Genomic DNA, 23602 nt, shown 5'->3' with positions numbered 1-23602 from the left:
GCGAAACCCCATCTCTACTAAAAATACAAAAATTAGCTGGGCGTGGTGGCGTGCACCTATAATCCCAGCTACTCGGGAGGCTGAGGCAGGAGAATTGCTTTAACCAGGGAGTCGGAGGTTGCAGTGAGCCTAGATTGTGCCACTGCACTCCAGGCTGGCGACAGAGCAAGACTCCATCTCAATAAATAAATAAATAAATATCCCCTGCTTTCTACTTATAGCATTGTAAGAATAAAGACTCGTTTGTAAAATAGAGCATTTGTTTTGTAGAATGTTCCTTGTTATGGTTTTGTCTATGTCTTGTGGTTATCGCTTTTTTTTTTTTTCCTCCAACTTTTAAGTTCAAGGGTGTATGTGCAGGATGTGCCGGTTTGTTACATAGGTAAACATGTGCCATGGTGGTTTGCCGCGCACATCATCCCATCACCTAGGTATTAAGCCCAGTATCCATTAGCTGTTCTTCCTGATGCTGTTCCTCCCCCACCATCCCCCATCAAGCTGCCCCCACCCGATCTCCACCCCCGGCTGACAGGCTCCAGTGTGTGTTGTTGCCCTCCATGTGCCCATGTGTTCTCATCATTCAACTCCCACTTATAAGCGAGAACATGCAGTGTTTGGTTTTCTGATCCTGCATTAGTTTGCTGAGGATAATGGCTTCTAGCTCCTTCCATGTCCCTACAAAGGACATGATCTTGTTCCTTTTGTGGTTAGCTTTTTTCTCTACCCCCTGTGTTTTCTATGAAATGGAAGTTGGATCTAAGTTTGATAAGATCCAGGTTAAACAATTTTAGCAAGAATGCCTCACAGGTAACCTGTGTGATTCATAGTGTATCACATCAGGAGGCATATAATGTCTGTCTTGTAATTAATGATGCTAATAACTTTGGCCACCTGGTTGAGGTAGTGACACACCAGATCTTTACATTATGTTTTCCTTTTTATGCTAGTAACTAACCTGAGGGGTGATATTTTAGCACCATGTGAATGTCCAGCTCTTCAGTAATCCTTCACTTAGACACATTAACATTTATAGGTGTCCCTTTCCTGAATCAGCTATTCTATAAGGGTTTTTAGAGTGGTGATTTTTCTAATTCTCTGATTTCTTTTTCATTTTTAGCTGGCAGTGTTCTATAAAGATCTGTCCCTTATTAGCTGGGGCTATTTGGTTACCTTGACATAGAGTTTCTATTGAAAATGCAGGATAAGTGCTTAATGCTCTTTATTTAATTGCTAATATTTAGAATAAAGAATTGGTATAATAATATCCGGTGGTATCAACTGCATTCTCTCTCCACCCGTTCCTCTCAGAAGCACCGTTTTGGACTCATGGATTTTTATATATTTAGTGTGTTATAGTTCTAACCATTATTCTGTTTGATACTGAAAAACTTATACATTTGGTCAGTGGGAGCTATTTCAAGCCAGTTCCTATCTGCTTTTAGCATAACTTTACTAATCTTTGAATACTTCCTTGTTTTCTAGCATATATCCTGGTATGATTTGTGAATTCCTAGCCTGAGACCTGAAATCGGCCATTTCTCCAAGATGCAGTGGTTTCTTTTAGCGGGAATGCTATTTAGATACCAAAATTTGAGTGAGCCTGATGCTTCTTGCTATTCGAGTATCCCTGCTTCTAAGCCTTTTTATGGAACAGAACTGGGAAACATGTTCTTTAAAAAATCATGAAGGTGTTTATAGACTAAGTTGCTTTGAACCAACCCTTTGCCAAAAATAACTAAAAGAGCTAAACAAAAAGTGTAACTATTTGAAATCACTGAAAGCTACCAGGGCAGTGAGAAATTGCAAAATCAAGATCTCAGCAAAGAGGGAAGCTCAGTTACATGAACCCAATCATTTGGGACTACCTTCCCCCTAAAGAGATCCTCTAATTCCTAATGCAGTGGGTGACAAATAGAATTTGAGTAGAGTTTTTGACAAACCCTGTGGTTGGGGAGTATAAAAATTGGAGTTCATGGCCGGGCATGGTGGCTCACACCTGTAATCCCAGCACTTTGGGAGGCCGAGGTGGGCAGATCCCCTGAGGTCAGTTGTTTGAGACCAGCCTGGCCAACATGGTGAAACCCCGTGCCTACTAAGAATACAAAAAGTAGCTGGGCGTGGTGGCAGGCATCTATAGTCCCAGCTACTTGGGAGGCTGAGGCAGGAGAATTGCTTGAACCTGGGAGGCAGAGGTTGCAGTGAGCCGAGATGGGTGACAGAGAGAGACTCCATCTCAAAAAAAAAAAAAAAATTGGAGTTCATAAGCAGATATTCAGGGCTTGTGGTTGGGACTCTGAAAGAATACCCCTTAGCAATAATAGTGACCTGGAAGTAGACTGGCTTTCACAAAGACTGAAGACCAGTTTCAAATAATCTCTATCCCCTGATAGGATTAATTAAGATTAGTTAAGAACCAATTGCCAGGACACTTAAGCTATATGTTTGCCAGAAGCAAATGTAATTCCTCTTTGGAAGAAGACAATATCATTCAGAAACTTAAATTATCCTGCAGATTTTCATATGTAGTCATTTCTCGGTATCTGAGGAGGATTGGTTCCAGGGTCCCTCCGCCCATACCAAAATCCATGGATGCTGAAGTACTTGATTTAAAAAGAAAAAGGTAATTGCATATAACGTATGTACATCCTCCTGTGTACTTTAATCTCTAGATTACTTATAATACCTAATGCAATGTAAATGCTCTGTAAATAGTTGTTACACTGTATTTAGGGAATAATGATGGGAAAAGTCTACATGTTCCATACAGATGCAGCCAACCATTTGTTTTTTTAAATATTTTTGAGCTGTAGTTGGTTGAATCCACACATGTAGAACCCATGGATATAGTGGGCTGACTGTACAATATTGAGAATTCCATTCTTAAAAAATAAGTAAATGCCTTTTATTTATTACCATTTATATGATTACGAATATATCTCCCAGTTTGTAACATTTTACTTTCTTAATGGAGTCATGATGAATAAAAATTCTTAATTTCAATATAGATAAATATAAGAAGCCTTTTCCTTTTAGTGGTTATTGCCTTTGTGTCTTGTTTAAGAACTCCCCTCTCTCTCTCCCTCTCCCTTTCTCCCTCTCCCTTTCTCCCTCTCCCTTTCTCCCTCTCCCCCTCTCTCCCTCTCTCCCTCTCCTCTCCGTCTCCGTCTCCCTCTGTTGCCGAGGCTGGACTGTACTGCCGTGGTCTCGGCTCGCTGCAGCCTCCCTGCCCCGGGCTCCCGTGGTTCTCCTACCTCGGCCTGCCAAGTGCCTGGGATTGCGGGCGTGCGCCGCCACGCCTGACTGGTTTTTGCATTTTTGGAGGAGACGGGGTTTTGCCCTGTTGACCTGGCTGGTCTCCGGCTCCTGACCTCAAGTGGTCTGCCCGTCGTGGCCTCCCGGGGTGCTGGGATTGCAGACGGAGTCTCACTCACTCAATGCTCAATGTTGCCCAGGCTGGAGTGCAGTGGCGTGATCTCAGCTCGCTGCAACCTCCACCTTCCAGCCACCTGCCTTGGCCTCCCAAAGTGCTAAGATTACAGCCTCTGCCCGGCCGCCACCCCGTCTGGGAAGTGAGGAGCGTATCAGCCCAGCCGCCCATTGTCTGGGAAGTGAGAAGCGCCTCTGCCCGGCCGCCCCGTCTGGGAGGCGAGGAGCGCCTCTGCCCGGCTGCCCCATCTGGGAGGCGAGGAGCGCCTCTTCCCGGCCACCCCGCCTGGGAGGCGAGGAGCACCTCTGCCCGGCCGCCCCGTCTGGGAGGCGAGGAGCGCCTCTGCCTGGCCGCCCCGTCTGCGAAGTGGGTGCCTCTGCCCGGCCGCCCCATCTGGGAGGTGAGGGGCGTCTCTGCCCGGCCGCCACCCCATCTGGGAAGTGAGGGGCGCCTCTGCCCGGCCGCCCCGTCTGGGAGGTGAGGAGTGCCTCTTCCCGGCCGACCCTTCTGGGAGGGGAGGGGCGTCTCTGCCTGACTGCAACCCCATCTGGGAAGTGAGGAGCGCCTCTGCCTGGCCGCCCTGTCTGGGAAGTGAGGAGCGCCTCTGCCCGGCCGCCCCGTCTGGGAAGTGAGGAGCGCCTCTGCCCGGCCACCCCATCTGGGAACTGAGGAGCGCCTCTGCCCGGCCGCCCCGTCTGGGAAGGGAGGAGTGCCTCTGCCCAGCCGCCACCCCATCTGGGAAGTGAGGAGCGTCTCTGCCCGGCCGCCCATCATCTGGGAAGTGAGAAATGCCTCTGCCCGGCCGCCCCGTCTGGGAGGCGAGGAGCGCCTCTGCCCTGCCGCCCCGTCTGGGAGGCGAGGAGCGCCTCTGCCCGGCCGCCCTGTCTGGGAGGCGAGGAGCGCCTCTGCCCGGCTGCCCAGTCTGGGAAGTGGGCGCCTCTGCCCGGCCGCCCCGTCTGGGACGTGAGGGGCGCCTCTTCCCGGCCGCCCCGTCTGGGAGGTGAGGGGCGTCTCTGCCCGGCCGCCACCCCGTCTGGGAAGTGGGGGGCGCCTCTGCCCGGCTGCCCTTCATCTGGGAGGTGGGGAGCGCCTCTGCCTGGCCGCCCCATCTGGGAGGCTAGGAGCGCCTCTGCCCAGCTGCCCATCATCTGGGAGGTGGGGAGCACCTCTGCCCGGCCCATCATCTGGGAGGTGGGGAGCACCTCTGCCCGGCTGCCCATCGTCTGGGATGTGAGGAGCGCCTCTGCCCGGCCACCACCCCATCTGGGAAGTGAGGTGCGCCTCTGCCCGGCCGCCCCGTCTGGGAGGTGAGGAGCACCTCTGCCCGGCTGCCCCGTCTGGGAAGTGAGGAGTGCCTCTGCCCGGCCACCCCATCTGGGAAGTGTACCCAATAGCTCCGAAGAGACAGTGACCATCGAGAACAGGCCATGATGACGATGGCGGTTTTGTTGAAAAGAAAAGGGGGAAATGTGGGGAAAAGAAAGACAGATCAGATGGTTACTGTGTCTGTGTAGAAAGAAGGAGACATAGGAGACACCATTTTGTTCTGTACTAAGAAAAATTCTTCTGCCTTGGGATGCTGTTAATCTATAACCTTACCCCCAACCCCGTGCTCTCTGAAACATGTGCTGTGTCAACTCAGGGTTAAATGGATTAAGGGTGGTGCAAGATGTGCTTTGTTAAACAGATGCTTGAAGGCAGCATGCTCATTAAGAGTCATCTCCACTCCCTAATCTCACGTACCCAGGGACACAAATACTGCGGAAGGCCGCAGGAACCTCTGCCTAGGAAAACCAGAGACCTTTGTTCACGTGTTTATCTGCTGACCTTCTCTCCACTATTATCCTATGACCCTGCCACATCCCCCTCTTTGAGAAACACCCAAGAATGATCAATAAATACTAAAAAAAAAAAAAAAAAAAAAGAGAACTCCTCCTCTAACCTGAAATCATAAATGTATTCTCCTATACTGTCTTCTTAAAACACCACAGTTTTGCATTCCATATGTCTTCAGTCCACCTAGAATGAATTTCAGTGAAGGATGGAACAGGAATTCAATCATTTTGTTTTCTATTTGTCTTAAGCTGTCTCTCAGCATTGTTCATGGAAAATAACCTCTTAATGGTGTTAGTTTCCTTTGCCTAGTTTCGCATATAATAGACCTCTGTGAATGAATTTGAATAAAGGATAATATTTTGGTAGTGTGAAACTCTTTCTATAGGTTCCTTGTGGTTTTCAAATATATTGTCTAATTTACTAGTTGATTTTTTATTCTGTACACGTTATGTTCTGTTTTACTTAATTATAAGGGCCTCATTTACTACTGAAATCCTATTGGCACTAAATAAATATTTGTCAAATTTTCTTTACATCTGTTTTAAATTTCCTTTTATTGTAGTAGTCTTTACAGTTATGAGACTTGCTTGATACATTTTCTTGAGCTCTTTGTCTTAGACTGTGTTTCTTAACTCTAACATAACATTATAGTCACCTGAAGAGATTTTAAATGCTACCTGTCATTTGGGCTCTACCTCTGGCCCAGTTAAATTAGTATTTTTAAAGTTTCCCAGTTGACTTTTGTGTAGTTCAGGTTGAGAAGCACTGGTCGGAGACATGACTGGATACTTTTGGTTCTTCAGATTTCTCTTAGGTAAGTTTTTCTTTTTTGCAAAGCCCCTTTTGATTTTACAAGTTTAGAAGGAATTTCTCTTTTTGACAGATTTTATGAAACTTTTACTCTTTGACATTTAAAAACATACATAGAAAGTTTCTGAAGATTGTTACATAAGTGTTATTTATGGCTGAAATTTTTTGTCCCATCACATCTTGTATTCCGTGCAATCAAATTCAACAGATATTTATTATCCTTTGTGCCAGGCATTATGCAAGGGCTTGGTGAATAAGAGAAGGTCTTTGACTTTCTGGAGCTTATAGTCTATATTTGTAAGTAATCATAAGTATAATGAGCTCTCCAAAAGAGGTGGGGGTATAGGGTTCTGTGCAGTTGTACTGCCTGGAGGGTTGAACCTATTCTGTGAGTCAGGGAATGTCTCCCTGAAGTAACATTTAAGCTGAGACTTTAAGAAGAAGTTCAGAAAACACATTCTTTAGATAAACTGGACTTTTTCAAAATTAAAAACTTGTGTTTCAAAGGACATTATTGAGAAAGAAGACTTTCTTGAATGGGAGAAAATATTTGCAAATCCCATATCAGTAAAGGGTCTACTACTATCAGAAGGTAAAAAGAACTCATACAACCCAACAAACAGACAACTCAATTAAAAAATGGGCAGAAGATATGAATAAACAATTCTCCAGAGGAGATATACAAATGACCAACAAGCACATGAAAAGATGTCCAACTTCGGCTGGGTGCAGTGGCTCACACCTTTAATCCCAGCACTTTGGGAGGCTGAGGCAGGTGGATTACCTGAGGTCAGGAGGTGTAGACAAGCCTGGCCAACGTGGTGAAATCCCGTCTCTACTGAAAATGCAAAAATTAGCCAGGTGTGGTGGTGAGCGCCTGTAATCCCAGCTACTTGGGAGGCTGAGGCAGGAGAATCACTTAAACGCTGGAGGTGGAGGTTGCAGTGAGCTGAGATTGCGCCACTGTACTCCAGCCTGGCCAACAAGAGCGAAAGTCCGTCTCAAAAAAAAAAAAAAAAGTCCAACTTCACTGGGCATTAAGAAAATGTAAATCAAGCTCTCCTACTCCCCCTCCCCCTCCCCCCCTTCCCCTCCCTTCGGGTCTCCCTCTGTTGCCGAGGCTGGACTGTACTGCCGTGATCTCAGCTCGCTGCAACCTCCCTGCCTTGGGCTCCCATGATTCTCCTGCCTCCGGCCTGCCGAGTGCCTAGGATTGCAGGCACGCACCGCCACACCTGACTGGTTTTTGTATTTCTGGTGGAGACGACGGGGTTTCACTGTGTTGACCGGGCTGGTCTCCAGCTCCTGACCTCGAGTGATCTGCCTGCCTCGGCCTCCCGAGGTGCTGGGATTGCAGACGGAGTCTCGCTCACTCAATGCTCAACGTTGCCCAGGCTGGAGTGCAGTGGCGTGATCTCAGCTCGCTACAACCTCCACCTCCCAGCCGCCTGCCTTGGCCTCCCAAAGTACTAAGATTACAGCCTCTGCCCAGCCACCACCCCGTCTAGGAAGTGAGGAGTGTCTCTGCCTGGCCGCCCATCCTCTGGGATGTGAGGAGCCGCTCTGCCCGGCCGCCCTGTCTGGGAAGTGAGGAGCGCCTCTGCCCTGCCGCCCTGTCTGGGAAGTGAGGAGCGCCTCTGCCTGGCCACCCCATCTGGGAGGTGAGGAGCGCCTCTGCCCGGCCACCCATCGTCTGAGAAGTGAGGAGCGCCTCTGCCCAGCCGCCCCATCTGGGATGTGAGGAGCACCTCTGCCTGGCCGCCCTATCTGGGAACTGAGGAGTGCCTCTGCCCGGCCACCCCGTCTGGGAACTGAGGAGCGCCTCTGCCCGGCCACCCCATCTGAGAAGTGAGGAGCGCCTCTGCCCGGCAGTCGCCCCGTCTGGGAAGTGAGGAGCGCCTCTGCCCGGCAGTCGCCCCGTCTGGGAAGTGAGGAGCGCCTCTGCCCGGCAGTCGCCCCATCTGGGATGTGAGGAGCGCCTCTGCCCGGCCGCCCCGTCCAGGAAGTGGGGAGTGAGGAGCGCCTCTGCCCGGCCACCCCGTCTGGGAAGTGGGGAGCGCCTCTGCCCGGCCACCCCGTCCGGGAGGTGAGGAGCGCCTCTGCCCGGCCGCCCTTCGTCCGGGAGGTGAGGAGCGCCTCTGCCCGGCCGCCCTTCGTCCGGGAGGTGAGGAGCGCCTCTGCCCGGCCGCCCTTCGTCCGGGAGGTGAGGAGCGCCTCTGCCCGGCCGCCCTTCGTCCGGGAGGTGAGGAGCGCCTCTGCCCGGCCGCCCTTCGTCCGGGAGGTGAGGAGCGCCTCTGCCCGGCCGCCCTTCGTCCGGGAGGTGAGGAGCGCCTCTGCCCGGCCGCCCTTCGTCCGGGAGGTGAGGAGCGCCTCTGCCCGGCCGCCCTTCGTCCGGGAGGTGAGGAGCGCCTCTGCCCGGCCGCCCTTCGTCCGGGAGGTGAGGAGCGCCTCTGCCCGGCCGCCCTTCGTCTGGGAGGTGAGGAGCGCCTCTGCCCGGCCGCCCCGTCTAGGAAGTGAGCGTCTCTGCCCGGCTGCCCCGTCTGGGAAGTGAGGAGCGCCTCTGCCCGGTCGCCCCGTCTGGGAAGTGTACCCAACAGCTCCGAAGAGACAGCAACCATCAAGAACGGGCCATGATGACGATGGCAGTTTTGTCAAAAAGAAAAGGGGCAAATGTGGGGAAAAGAGAGATCAGATGTTACTGTGTCTGTGTAGAAAGAAGTAGACATAGGAGACTCCATTTTGTTCTGTACTAAGAAAAATTCTTCTGCCTTGGGATGCTGTTAATCTATAACCTTACCCCAAACCCGGTGCTCTCTGAAACATGTGCTGTGTCAACTCAGGGTTAAATGGATTAAGGGTGGTGCAAGATGTGCTTTGTTAAACAGATGCTTGAAGGCAGCATGCTCGTTAAGAGTCATCACCACTCCCTAATCTCAAGTACCCAGGGACACAAACACTGCGGAAGGCCTCAGGGACCTCTGCCTAGGAAAACCAGAGACCTTTGTTCACGTGTTTATCTGCTGACCTTCTCTCCACTATTATCCTATGACCCTGCCACATCCCCCTCTTTGAGAAACACCCAAGAATGATCAATAAGTACTAAAAAAAAAAAAAAAAGAAAATGTAAATCAAAACAGTGAGATACCACTTCACACTCAGCAGACAGCTATCATAAAAAAATTAGAAAATAACAGGTATTGGTGAGATGTGGTAGAAATGGTAACCAAAAGGTGTAAACAACCCAGATTTCCATTAACAGTTGAATGGATAAACGAGTTGTGTTATACACATATAAAAGAATAATTTCCAGCCATAAAAAGGACTGAAGTACTGATACAGGCTACAACATGGAGGCACCTTGAAAACATCATGTTAAATAAACCAGAAACGAAAAGTTAACACATTGTGTGATTCCTTTCATATTCAGAATAAGCAATCCCATAGAGACAGGAAGCAAATTAGTGGTTGCCAGGGAACTGGGGAGGGGGAGATAGGAAGAGATTATTTAAAGGGTATAGGGAGGTGGTGGTTGTATGACATTGTAAATGCACTAAATGCCAGTGAATTGTATACTTTAAAATGGTTAATTATATAAATTTCACTTCCAAAAAAAGTACATAAACCTGATTAGATTTTTAAAACTTGTATGACCACACAGTTTTAAGTGCATAAGTATTTTTTCTGAGTGGAGTTGGTCAACCTAAATAAAAAACAGAGAGAGGTTCCCTAGAAGAAAATGATGGTTATTTGGCAACAGCATTGCAGTGGGAATGTACTTGCCGTGGTAAACTATGTATATATTCAAGGACGTAAAGGAAGACAGATTTTTAAAGGGAAAAGGAGGATTATGTAATTGTTTTAAAATGATTATGATAGGCTACAGAGGTCAATAACAAGAGTGATGCCAGTCCAAGTTTGGACAGGCAGTTGCTGGGCAGATGTCCTTGTGGAAGTATTTTTTGTGTAAGATTGCAGTGCCTTTGAGCAAGCAAGGCTGTGGTTTTTGCAGAATCTTTTGTGATAGGTTTTGTTTAGGTATACAAGTGTGAGAACCCTCTTAGCCTTTCCAGCTCTATATGTCAGATTTTTTAATACACTAGTGACTTCATTTTGATTCTGACAACTTTCACAAATTATTACAATTGTTGTTGCATAATAAATATTTTACAGATTTTGTTCAATATTAAACATTAAAAATGAAATTTATTGGAAATTCATCTTCTAATGGTATGGACTTTTAAAAAATGCCATTTAGTCTGTATGTCCATGGATGACTGCTACATGAATGAATGCTACAAGGGTTCAGCATAAATTCTGTTCTGTTTTATGATTTATCAGACTCAAGTGCTGAGAAACCTTGTTGATGTAATAAAATGGTAATGGAAGGAGTTTAGTTATAGCAGTGTCACTCAGTTTTTTGAGCTTCTGAGTCATGTACTAAAAAGCACATAGTAATTTAGCATAAAATTGACTTTTAATGATTAATTGACTCATAACTCAGGTTTTCCTTCAGTGTTTTTGAAACGTGAAGAATTGGAAAACAGTTCACTTGCATAATAATTTGGTAATCATTAGAGTAATTTACTACTTTCTCAACACCTCCACCAGCATTTCCAGTCCACCCTATGTTTAGTGCTTCAGAAATTTTTGCCTGTCAGGAAACTACCATGGTAATAAGAGACATAGGTTAGGGGAATGTTTTTCTTTTGTAAAATGGAAAAGCATTATTTTTAAAGGGAAAAAGGGAAAGATGAGTTCTCATGACACAGACAGAGTAGTTTTTGAAATGACTACCTGTGAAAGATGAAAATTTTCTGATGCTCTTAAAGCTAACTGTGCACTTGGACCTCTTCAAATCTTTGTGTACCTAGACAGTACCGTACTCTTTCCGAGGTTTTATATAAAGTGCTGCTTACAGCCTGCCCTCGGCTACGAATCTTTGAATAACTTAAAACTCCTGTGCACTGTGAATAAAAAGAGGTGAAATTAAAAAAAAGTAAAATTTGACCCTAAAGCTCTGTCTTTGAAAATGGCTTTTTAAATTTTGTGTCTGTAATAAATGTGGAGTTAATACAAAATTCTTAAATTAGATTGAGTTAGGAGTTTCGGCTTTTCTCCTCATTCCTTTTCTAAAAATTTTCCCAGGTCAATGAGTGGTCATTGAAGATAAGAAAGGAAATGAGAGTTGTTGACAGGCAAATAAGGGGTAAGTTATCATTTTATGTCTTCTATTTTTCACCCTCTTGGTATATTTTGCTTCAGTTCATAAAAATAAACTGCATTTATATATCATAAGACATAGTTTATTCCTATATCAGTTATTTATAGCTGTCTGACTGATTTTGCTTTTTAATTCTGTAATCAGTATTAAAAAAAGATAATGAGTTAGAAGAAACTTTATATTTTGGAAGAGCAAAAGAAACCTCTTGCTACTTATAAAGAAATGCCTTTTATGGAATTCAAATTAAATAAATTATACATAAGTAAGAAATACAATTTCATTGTCACTGCTCTATCTTAGCATGACTGTAAATTGAGGACAGTATGTTTATAAATAAAGTTGATTTTTTTTGTTTAGTACCATTTAAGATGATTTGCAAAGGGATGGTAATATTTAAAACTTTTAAGGTTTTTAACACTTTCATGATTGGAGAAGAGTTAATATCATAAAGGTATCCCAGTATCACTTTCTTTAAAAAGAATTGGAGAGGGAAATTCCACTCCCAGCCATGAAGGAGTAATTGCTTTTCAACTTGCATTCTCATCGTAAATAAAAATTTGGACAAAGCAAGAGAGAAAAAAACTGGACAAAAATCTGTGAAACAGCTGTTTTCAAACATTGGGCAGCTGGCAGTACAGGGTTGTGATCACTGAGAGAATAGAAACAAAGACAGAGAGTCTTAATATGACCCTGTCATTCTGCTTGGAGATACTTTCTGGATTATAGCCCATGGAAGGACATTCCAAGCAGAGCATAGTGGTTTCACTGGGTTGAGAATAGAGATAAGGGTTCAGGGAGTGGCTGGAATTTGTGGGGCCGAGTATCAGAGAGAATGGAAATACTCAGAGAAAGAACTTCAAATGTCTCCATAGGATCCATTGGAGTCTTTGGCTGAATACTAAGCTGTGCATGCTTAGAGTGAAATTTCAAGAGACTGGGCAAAGAACAATTACTAGGAACAGAACAACTACCAGGAAGCTGTAAGCTGAATAATTCTTAGAGCTAATAAAGGATTGAGAAGTGGTTGAGCTCTGATCAGACACAGAAAAGAGACTTTGTTGAACCTCTGGGATGTTCAATAGAGACCTCAGAAGAGTCACACCTTAATAATAAGGATCAGGTAGGTAGTCCTAGAAAAAAGGCTACCACAAGCCCATACCAACCAACCAACAAGACTTAAAAGACTTCACGGCTGATTTGCAGGTAATTTGACTGCCTGCCAAAGTAAAGATTAACACTGTTTAAGGGAAGACTACAAAATGCAGGCACCCAACAATGAAACATATACAGTGGCCAGCATCCAATAAGATACTATTATGAAGAAGCAGGAAAATGTGACCCCAAAACAGGAGAAAAGCCAGGTAATAGAAATAGATTTAAAAAAAAAAAACACCCAAAACCCCCACAAAAAAAGATGATTGAATTTGCAGTCAAGGATTTTTAAGCAGCTATTATAAATATGTTGAGATTAAAGGATAACTTAAACATAATGAGGAGATAAATACAAAATACAGAAAACAACAAAATGGAATTTCTAGAGTTGAAAGATCTGAAATGAAGTGAAATTAAATGAAGAATCACTGAATGGGTTTAACAGCAAATTAGACACTACAGAAAACAAGATCAGTGAAATTGAAGATATACAAAATCCAAAATGTTCAAATGAACATTTCCTTTGAGTATCCTGTCAGCAACCCAAATATTTCAGATTTTGGATTTCGGATTTTCTGATTAGGGATACACAACTGGTATGATGCATGGTATGATGCAAACATTCCAAAATCTAAAGCCTGAAAGACATTTGGTCCCAAGCATGTTGGATAAGAGATATTCAACCTGTAATACAAATTATCCAAACTGTAGTACAGACAGAAAAAAGAAAAAAACAACAACACAGAGCTTCTAGTATCAAGTGAGCTAATGTGTATAATTTGAGTCTCAGGAGAAGAGGGGTCAGGAAGGATCATATGAAATTGTAGCTGAATGTTTTTCAAACATGATGAAAACTATTAAGCTTGCAGATCCAAGGAACTCATCTCCAAATTGAATAAACACAAAACCATACAAAGGCAAAGCATAATCAAATTACTGAAAACCAAAAAGATTACTGAAAACCGAAAAGATAACCCCCCAAAAAGACAAATTTAGGTCCAATAAACAGTGATAAGAATGATTTTAAAATTCTTATTAGAAACGATGCAAACTAGAATATCTTTCATATGGTGAGAAAAACCCCACAAAACAACCCTATGTTATCCTAGACTTAAGTCCAATGAAAATAACATTCATAGGTGAAGGTGAAATAAAGATATTTTCAAACAAAAGCCAGAAAGAATTTGTTGCCAATACAATAAATGTTAAAAGAAGTTGTAGGCTGAAGAAAAATCATACCAGATAGAAACTTGGATTTATATGAAGGAATAAAGCATGCTGGAAATGGTAAATATGTAAGTAAATATAAATTATTTTTTCCTCTTAAGAATGTTTTTAACTTACTGACTCTTAAAAGTAAAAATAATAATGTATTGTGGGGCTTGTAACATGTAGAGGTAAAATGTATGACAATGATAATAATTGATCAGTGTCAAAAATAAATGTTAGAAACTTCATAAGTTTCATTAGTGTCTCACAGCCTTGCATATTCCTTTTTTGTGCTATGCTTACTATAATTCTTCTCACATCCATAGCTCATTTTTCCTTTTAAATGATGATCTTCAAGCCCAATATCTTTCATGTAGGTTTCCTGTTATTTGTCATTAATAGTAATTTATTAATTTACTCTAACATGATATAGGAAAAAGATCATGGATTTTGGAGTCTTAACATTACCAGGTTTAAACTCTGATATCACCTGTCCTTAGTAAACTTCTTTGAATCTCATAGAATTGTTGTGACAGTTAAGTCTGTGAATATGTATAAAGTGTTTAGGACAGTACCTGGCATGCAGTAGAGACTTCACTACTTGATGGTGATACCAAAAAAGGGGATGGGGCACTTTGATAAAGTGTGACTATGAAGTAATGTGATTGCTTTAAATGTTACTTGTGAAAGAAAGCATGTGAGGATTTATCACAGAAACACTATCAGGATCTTTCATTTGGTTTTATGCTAGCAGTCAAGGTGAATGGATCTAAAAAGAAATACTAGGGTAAAAATGAGCAACTGCAAAATGAATTTATGTTCTCAGAAGTCAAGCTATTGGCTATACTTACTCGGGGGGAATGGTGGATTAAAGGTAACGTAAGGGGGCCTTGTGGCATGTTCGTAATATTCTGTTTCTTAATCTAGGTCCTGGTTACATGAGTGTGTTTAATTTGTGAAAATGTATATAGCTGTACAGTTATGTTTACTTTTCTGTATATATGTTATACTTAAATAACAAGTTAAAGAAAAATAATAGCAACTTAAAGCAAAATATAACTATAGGGAGTTCTAGCTTCTCATGGAAGATTTATGGTAGTCCACATTTTTAGTTTTCAGTCAAATGTAACACATTTTGAACACTCATTATAGGCAATAATTGGAAAGAATTTAGGTAATTCATTTCATCTGCTCCTCAAATGAAAATAATCAGCTTGGGTGAGCACTCATGACTATAAAGGTAGTTATACACATGTGAAAATGCAGAAAAGTAGAAAGTTAAAATCACCCTGAAGTTCGACCACTTAGAGATAACCACCACAAACACTTTGGTGATCATCCTTTTCCAGATATATTTCTCTCTGTTTTTGTATTTATACCCAAACATTTGTTTATAAGTGAGTCATACTAGTCTTGCTGCTGATTTTTATTTATATTGTAAAATTTACATAAAGCTGACCATCTTAACCATTTTTAAGTGTACAGTTCAGTGGCATTAGGTGCATTCATAATGTTGTGCAACCATCACCACTATCCATCTCCAGATCTGTTTCCTCATCCATACTGAAACTCTGTACCTATTAAACAATAACTTCCTATTTCTCTCTACCCCCAGCCCCTGGTAACCACTATTCTACTTTCTGTATCTAAGTATTTGACGATTCTAAGTACCTCATATAAGTAGAATCAAATAATTTTTGTCTTTTTGTGTCTGGCTTATTTCACTTAACATAATGTTTTTAAGGATCATCCATGTTGTAGCAGGTATCAGAATTTCATTCCTTTTTAAGGCTGAGTAATATTCCGTTGTCTGTATATACCATATTTTATTTATATACTCATCTGCTGATGGACATTTAGATTGTGTCCACCTTTTGGCTATTGTGAATAATGCTGCTCTGAAGATGGATGTACAGATATCTGTTTTGCTTTCAATTCTTTTCAGTACTTTTGCGTACATAAACAAAAGTAGCATTACTGGATCAAATAATTGTATCTTTAATTTTGGGGGGAACCATTTACTGTTTTCCATGGCAGCTGTGCCATTTTACATTCCTATCATCAAGAGCTAGGCTACTCAAAAGTAACTGTATATATGAGGGAATGTAGAAGTCACTGTGCGTGCCCAGGGAATGGTACAGGCTCATAAAATAGCTCAGAAGACCTTGAGTTTATACCTTGTGCTGATCTTTACTACAGACACCCTATGCCAATTTTAAAAAAGCAAAAAAGAAAACCAAACCAAACCTGATGAGCCCTGGGGAATCAGCATCTGATCTCCAGAGTTACCACATTAGAAGATTCAAACATTCAGTTTTCAACAACAGTAAAATCATAAGGCATACAAAGAAACAGGAAAATATGGCCTACTCAAAGCAGGAAAAAGTAAGTCACCAGAAACTTGCTGAGAAAGACTAGATGGTAGATTTGCTAAACAAAGACTTAAAGCAAGTATCGATGTGCAAAGAACTAAAGGAAAAGGTGGATTAAGTTAAAAAACGAAGTGTGAACAAAATGGAAATAATCGATGGAAAGCTAGAAAACAAGAAAAGAAACCCCAAAATTCCAGAGCTGAAAAGTACAATAACTGAAGTGAAAACCTTACTAGAATGATTCAAAAGCATATTTGAGCAGGTAAAATAAAGCATCAGCAGACTTCAAAATAGAGCAATTGAAATTATCAAGTCTGAGGAACAGAAAGAAAAAAAAGAGACTGGGTGCAATGGCTAACGCCTGTAATCCCAACACTTTGGGAGGCTGAGGCAGGTGTGTTGCTTGAGGCCAGGAGTTTGAGACCAGCCTGGGCAACACGGCAAAACCTCATCTCTACAAAAAATAAAAACAAAAATTAGCCAGGTGTGGTGGTACATGCCTGTAGTCCTACCTACCCAGGAAGTTGAGGCTGTAGTAAGCCATGATCATGCCATTGCACTCCAGCATGGGCAACAGAGCAAGACCCTGTCTACTGAAAAAAAAGAAAAAGAAAAAAAAATGGGCAGAGCCTAAGAGACCTGTCAGACATCATCAAGTAGACCAACATGCATTGTGGAAACTTTAGGAGAAGAGAGAGAGAAAGGTGCAGAGAGATTATTTGAAGAAATAATGGCTAAAAACTTCCTAGATTTGATGAAAGATAGGAATATAAACATCCAAGAAGTTCAGTGAACTCCAGGTAGGATAAACTCAAGTGAGATCTTGCCAAGAAAGACACATTATAATCAAACTGTAGAAAGCCATAGACAGTGAGAGAATCTTAAAAGGAGCAAGAGAGAAACATCTTGTCACATACAAAGGATCCTCGTAAGATTTTAGAAGATTTCTCATCCGAAACATTAGAGGCCAGAAAGCAGTGGATTCAATACTGAAAGAAAAGGCCTATCAACCAAAATTTTATGTCTAGCAAAACTGTCAGATAAACAAAAGCCATGGGAGTTTATTACAGCTAGACCTGACTTGCAAGAGGTAATAAAGGGAGTCCTTCAGGTTGAAATGAAAGGACATTATACAGTAACTTGATGATGTATGAAGAAATAAGTATCTCCATTAAAGGTAGATTCATGGACAATTAGAAAGGTTTAGGCCGGGCGTGGTGGCTCACGCCTGTAATCCCAGCACTTTGGGAGGCCGAGGCGGGCGGATCACGAGGTCAGGAGATCGAGACCATCCCGGCTAAAACGGTGAAACCCCGTCTCTACTAAAAATACAAAAAAAAATTAGCCGGGCGTAGTGGCGGGCGCCTGTAGTCCCAGCTACTTGGGAGGCTGAGGCAGGAGAATGGCGTGAACCCGGGAGGCGGAGCTTGCAGTGAGCCGAGATCCCGCCACTGCACTCCAGCCTGGGCGACAGAGCGAGACTCCGTCTCAAAAAAAAAAAAAAAAAAAGAAAGGTTTATAACTCTACTTTTTGTATTCTACATGATTTAAGAGACATGAATAAGAAATAAAAGGTAGTCTGTTTTTGGACACATAGTGCCTAAATGTAACATTGTGACATCAGTAACTGAACTGGGGTAGAGACAGAGTTTTATGAGAGCATAGTTTTCTTACTGCTTTTGAAATTAAGCTCATGCAGGCTGGGCGCAGTGGCTTATACCTGTAATCCCTGCACTTTGGGAGGCCAAGGTGGGCGGATCACCTAAGGCCAGGAGTTCGAGACCAGACTGACCAACATGGTGAAACCCAGTTTCTACTAAAAATACAAAAATTAGCTGGGCGTGTGGTGCGCGCCTGTAATAGCAACTACTGTGGAGGCTGAGGCAGGAGAATCGCTTGAACCTGGGGGCCGGAGGTTGCAGTGAGCTGAGATCATGATGCCACTGCACTCTAGCCTGAGTGATAAAGTGAGACTCAAAAAGAGAAGCTCATGCAGATTCACATTAGAGTGTTATAAGTTTAGGATGTTAAGCATAATCCTCATGGTATCCACAAAGAAAATGGCTGTACAAAAGGAAATAAGAAGGGAATAAAAACATTTCATTAACCAAAAAAATCAAGTAAACACACAAGAAAACATTAATGCAGGAAATAAGGGACAAAATAGCTATGCCATACAGAAAATAAATGGCAAGTTGGCAGAAGAAAATTTGTCCTTATCAATAATTCCTTTTTTTTTTTTTTTTTTGGAGATAGGGTCTTGCTCTGTCACCCAGGCTGGAGTGCAGCGTCGTGACACAGCTCACAGCAGCCTCGACCTCCTGGGCTCTAGCAATCCTCCCATCTCAGCCTGCCAAGTACCTGGGACTATAGATGCATGCCACTGCACCAGCTAATTTTTATATTTTTTGTAGAGACAGGGTTTCATCATGTTGCCTAGGCTAGTCTGGAACTCCTGGACTCAAGCAATCCTCCTGCCTTGGCCTCCCAAAGTGCTAGGATTACAGGCATGAGCCACTGTGCCCAGCCCACAGTAATTACTTTGAATGTAAATGGATTTAAAGTCTCTAATCAAATTGGCAGAATGGATTTTACAAAACATAATATTATATTTAAAAACATATATACTGTCTACAAGAGTGAGACTTTAGATCCAAAAACACAAATAGATTGGAAGCAAAAGGATGGAAAAAGATATTTTGTGGACATAGTAAATAAAAGACAGCAGGGACAGCTATGTTATTATCAGATAAAATAGATTTTAAATAAAGATTATATGAGACAAAGGACATTATATATTAATTAAAGATTAAATACAGCAAGAAGATAATACAAGTGTACATATTTTTGTATACAGTAACAGACTGTCAAAACATATGCAGCAAAAGTGGACAGAATTGAAGACAGAAATAGTTCTTCCATAATAGTTAGATAATACTGCACTGTCAACAATGGGTATATCAACTAGATAGGAATTAGGTAGGAAAACAGGGGACTTGAAGAACGAAGGCAGAGTGCAGTGGCTCACACCTGTAATCCTAGCACTTTGGGAGGCCGAGGCAGTTGGATCACCTGATGTCAGGAGTTTGAGACCAGCCTGGCCAACTTGGCAAAACCCTGTCTCTACTAAAAATACAAAAATTGCTGGGTGTCATGGTGTGTGCCTGTAATCCCAGGTACGGGAGGCTGAGGTAGGAGAATTGCTTGAACCTGGGAGGTGGAGGTTGCAGTGAGCCGAGATTGTGCCACCACAGTCCAGCCTGGGAGACAGGCTCCATCTCAAAAAAAAAAAAAAAAAAAAAAAAAAGAAATAAAGCAATTGGATCTAAAGATGTATACAGAATACTACCCAACAACAAACTACACATTCTTCTCACATATACACAAGACATTCTTTAGGATAGACCATATGTTAGACTGTAAATCAAGTCTCAGTCAAATTTAAAAGATATATAAGGTATCTTCTCTGACCACAACAGGATGAAATTAGAAATCAGTAACAGAAAGAATACTGGAAAATTCACAGATGTATGGAAATTAAGCAACACATTCTTAACCAATGGGTGAAAAAAGAAATCACAAAGCAAATCAGAAAATACTTACAGACAAGTAAAAACCAAATCAGAACATACCTAAAGTTAGAAGGTGCAGCAAAAGCAACACTCAGAGGAAAATTAATAGCTATAAATGCTTACATTAAGAATGAAGGCCAGGTGTGGTGGCTTAATCCCAACACTTTGGGAGGCCAAGGCGGGCAGATCACTTGAGCCCAGGAGTTTGAGGCCAGCCTAGGCAACATGGCGAAACCCTGTCTCTATCAAAAATACAAAAGTTAGCTAGGTGCTGTGGTCTGTGGGTAGTCGCAGCTACTTGGGAGGCTGAGGAGGGAAGATTGCTTGAACCCAGAGGCAGAAGTTACAGTGAGTTGTGATGGTGACCAACCTTGCACTCCAGCCTGGGTGACGGGAGTGAAACCCTGTCTCAAAAAAAAAAATCTCAGATGAGCAACCTGGCTTTCAACTTAAAGGAAACAGAACAAGAACAAAGTCAACCCAAATCTAGCAGAAGGAAGAAAATAATAAAGATTAAAGCAGAGACAGAACAGAAAAAGAATAGAGAGCATTAACAAAATCCATAGTTGGTTCTTGAAAAAGACAAAAAAATGTATACACCTTAACTAGATTGACTAAGGAAGAAGAGAAAGTTGAAAGTACTAAAATCAGAGTTGAAAGTGGAGACATTACTACTGATTCCACAGAAATAAAGATTATAAGAATACGATGGACAATTGTATGTTAATAAATTGTGTAACCTAGATGTGATGGACAAATTACTAGAAACATGAAACTTACCAAGATTGAAACATAAAGAAATAGAAAATGTGAACAGACTTATACCTAGTAGGGAGAGTGAATCAGTGATCAAAAATATCCTGACAAAGAAAAGCTGTGGACCTGATGACTTCACTGGTAAATTCTATCAAACAGTTAAAGAAGAACTAACACCAATGCTTCTCAAACTTCAAGAAATTGAAGAGAAGAAAACACTTCCTTATTCATTCTATGTTGCCAGTATTGTCCTGATATCATATCAGACAAAGATGCTGCAAGAAAACTATAGACCAGTGTCTCTTATGAACATTGGTGCAAAAATCTTCAACAGAATACTAGCAAACCAAATCCAGCAACACATTAAAATGAGTATACATCACGGCCAGTGGGATTTATCCTGGAATGCAAGAATGATTCAACATGTAAAATTTGATCAGTGTAATATATCACATTAACAGCATGAAGGGGAAAAGAAACTCACATTATCATCTCAATTGATGCAGAAAAAGCATTTGGCCAAATTTAGCACCCTTTCATGCTAAAAACAACAACTAGGAATAGAAAGAAATTACCTGAACATAGTAAAAACCATGTATGAAAAAAACCACAGGGACTATCAAAATAAATGGTGAAAGACTAAAAGCTTTTCGTCTAAGATCAGGAACAAGGCAAGGATACCCACTTTTGCCACTTCTCTTTAACACGATACTGAACTTCTAGCCAAAGGAGTTGGACAAGAAAAAAATAGTTAAAAGTATGTAAATTGGAAAGGAATAAGTAAAAATCTCTGTTTGCAGCTGATACTATATGTATAATACCCTAAAGATTTTTCAAAAAAGACCTATTAGAACTAATAAATTCATTAAGCAGCAAGATACAAAATCAGCACCAAAAAAAATTGTATTTCTCTATATTAACGATGGACAATCTGAAAAGGAAATTAAGAAAACCCATTCTCAATAGCATCAAAAATAATCAAATACTTAGGAATTTACTTAACCAAGGAGGCAAAAGACTTGTATAATGAAAATGATGAAATATTACTGAAAGGAATTGGACATAAATAAATGGAAAGACATCACATTTTCATGTATTGGGAGATTAGATATTGTTAAGATGTCAGTAGTACCCCAAAGCAATCTTATACATTCAAAGTGCAATCCTTATCAAAATCCCAATGACATTTTTTGTAGAAATAGAGATATCTGTCCTAAAATTCTTATAGAATCTTAAGAGACCCTAAATAATCAAAATAGTCTTAAAAAAAGAAAGTTTAACAACTCACTTCCTGGTTTCAAAACTTGCCACAAAGCTACAGAGATAAAATCAATGTAGTACTGACATAAAGACATATAAACGAATGGAATAGAAATAGGTATCCAGAAAAACTATGTGTCTGTTGTCAACTGATTTTTGACAAGGGTAGCAAGACCATTCAGTGGAGGAAAGGACAGTTTTCAGCAAATGGTGCTGGGAAAACTGGATATCCATATGCAAAAGAATTCAGTTGGACCTTTACCTAACAATGTATACAGAAACTAACCCCAAATGGATCAAAGACCTAAATGTAAGAGCTAAAACTATAAAACTCTTAGAAAAAAACACAGAGTAAAACTTCACAACTTGAAGAACAAACTGCTGGGCGTGGTGATGTGTGCCTGTAGTCCCAGCTACTCGGGAGGCTGAGGCTGGAAGACCAGTTGAGGCCAGGAGTATGAAGCTGTAATGTGCTATAATCATGCCTGTGAATAGCCACTGCACTACACCCTGAGCAACATAGATCCATCTCCAAAAAATAAAAAAGAGTAGACAAACTGGACTTCATGAAAATCAAAAATTTTTGTGCATCTTAAAAAGATTACCTGGCAGGGCACAGTGGTTCACACCTGTAATTCCAGCACTTTGGGAGGCTGTGGTGGGTAGATTGCTTGAGCCCAGGTGTTTGAGACCAGCCTGGGCAACGTGGCGAAACCCCATCTCTACAAAAAAAGAAAAAGAAAAATTGTACATTAAAAAAATAAAAAGATGTTACCAACGGAGGAAAAGGCAACTCATAGAATGGGAGAAAGCATTTGCAAATCATTTATCTGATGAGAGGTTGTATTCAGAGTATATACAGAACACCTAAAATGCCACAACAATAAAACGACTTAATTCAAAAATGGGCAAAAGACTTCAATAGACTTTTGGAATTTCTCCAAATAAGCTGTACAAATTGTCAGTAAGTACATGAAAAGATGTTTAACATCACTAATTATTAGGGAAATGCAAATCAAAACGACCTCATACCCGTTAGGATGACTACTATCAAAACAACAACAACAAAACCCCCAGGAAATAACCAGTGTTGGTGAGTATGTGGTAAAATTGGAACTTTGTATACTGTTAGTGAGAATGTAAAATGATGAAGCCACTGTGAAAAACAGTACAGCTGTTCCTCAAAAAATTAAAAATAGAATTACCCTATAACCTAACAGTTCTACTTTTAGGCATATACACAAAAGATAGCAGGGTCTCAAAGACATTTGTACATTCATGTTCTTCACAATAGCTAAAAGTTGGAAGTAACCCAAGTGTCCACTGACGAATGGTTAAGTAAAATGTCGTATATACATACAATGGAATATTATTGAGCTTTAAAAAGAAAGTTCTGACATATGCTACAAAATGCTTGAACCTTAAAAATATTATGCTTAGTGAAATAAGCCAGTCAGAAAAAGAAAAATATTATGATTCCACTTAAAGGAAGTACCAAGGGTAGTAAAATTCGTAAAGACAGAAAACAGAATGGTGGATGCCAGGAGTTAGGGGAAAGGAGAAATGGGGAGTTACTGTTCAATGGGTGCAGAATTTTAGTTTTGGGAAAGATGAAGAGTTCTGGGCCAGGTGCGGTGGCTCATGCCTGTAATTTCAGCACTTTGGGAGGCCGAGGCAGGTGGATCACCTGAGGTCAGCAGTTCGAGACCAGCCTGGCCAACATGGTGAAACCCCATCTCTGCTAAAAATGCAAAAATTAGCCAGGCATCGTGGTGGGTGCTTGTAATCCCAGCTACTTGGGAGGCTGAGGCAGAATCACTTCAAACCCGGGAGGTGGAGGTTGCAGTGAGCTGAGACTGCACCATTGCACTCCAGCGTGGGCAACAAGAGTGAAACTCCATCTCAAAAAATAAAAAAAAAAGAGTTCGGGGTGTCTGGGTGGAGGTGACGGTTGCACAACAATGTGAATGTTACTTTATTCCACTGA

At 41.8% G+C, this 23602-nt stretch overlaps 2 protein-coding genes across 5 annotated transcripts in view, besides 1 other annotated feature; both read left to right on the top strand.

The window, feature by feature from the left end:
• RNF103-CHMP3 (RNF103-CHMP3 readthrough) overlaps positions 1-23602 on the top strand; it is a 217693-nt gene that overhangs the window by 167592 nt on the left and 26499 nt on the right. The window contains exon 4 of the mRNA NM_001198954.1: positions 11219-11279. Coding sequence (NP_001185883.1) covers positions 11219-11279 — 61 coding nt within the window. The remainder of the gene's footprint in view (positions 1-11218; positions 11280-23602) is intronic.
• CHMP3 (charged multivesicular body protein 3) overlaps positions 1-23602 on the top strand; it is a 60014-nt gene that overhangs the window by 9913 nt on the left and 26499 nt on the right. For 2 of the 4 annotated variants that reach the window (NM_001193517.2, NM_016079.4), the window contains exon 2: positions 11219-11279. The exons of the other annotated variants lie outside the window; for them this stretch is intronic. In NM_001193517.2, coding sequence (NP_001180446.1) covers positions 11219-11279 — 61 coding nt within the window. The remainder of the gene's footprint in view (positions 1-11218; positions 11280-23602) is intronic. 4 annotated transcript variants of the gene reach the window in all.
• Positions 643-812: an enhancer, noted in NCBI's record as "experimental_59439 CRE fragment used in MPRA reporter constructs". NCBI's record gives its function as "activates a minimal promoter by MPRAs in K562 erythroleukemia cells, with activity observed for the non-introgressed 2:86779927 variant allele {active_cell/tissue: K562}" and the evidence as "EXISTENCE:reporter gene assay evidence [ECO:0000049][PMID:34662402]".

Source organism: Homo sapiens, chromosome 2 (genome assembly GCF_000001405.40).
Source record: "Homo sapiens chromosome 2, GRCh38.p14 Primary Assembly".
NCBI lineage: Eukaryota > Metazoa > Chordata > Mammalia > Primates > Hominidae > Homo > Homo sapiens.
The sequence above is the reverse complement of the archived record's forward strand: the minus strand, read 5'-3'. Positions and strand labels throughout refer to the sequence as shown.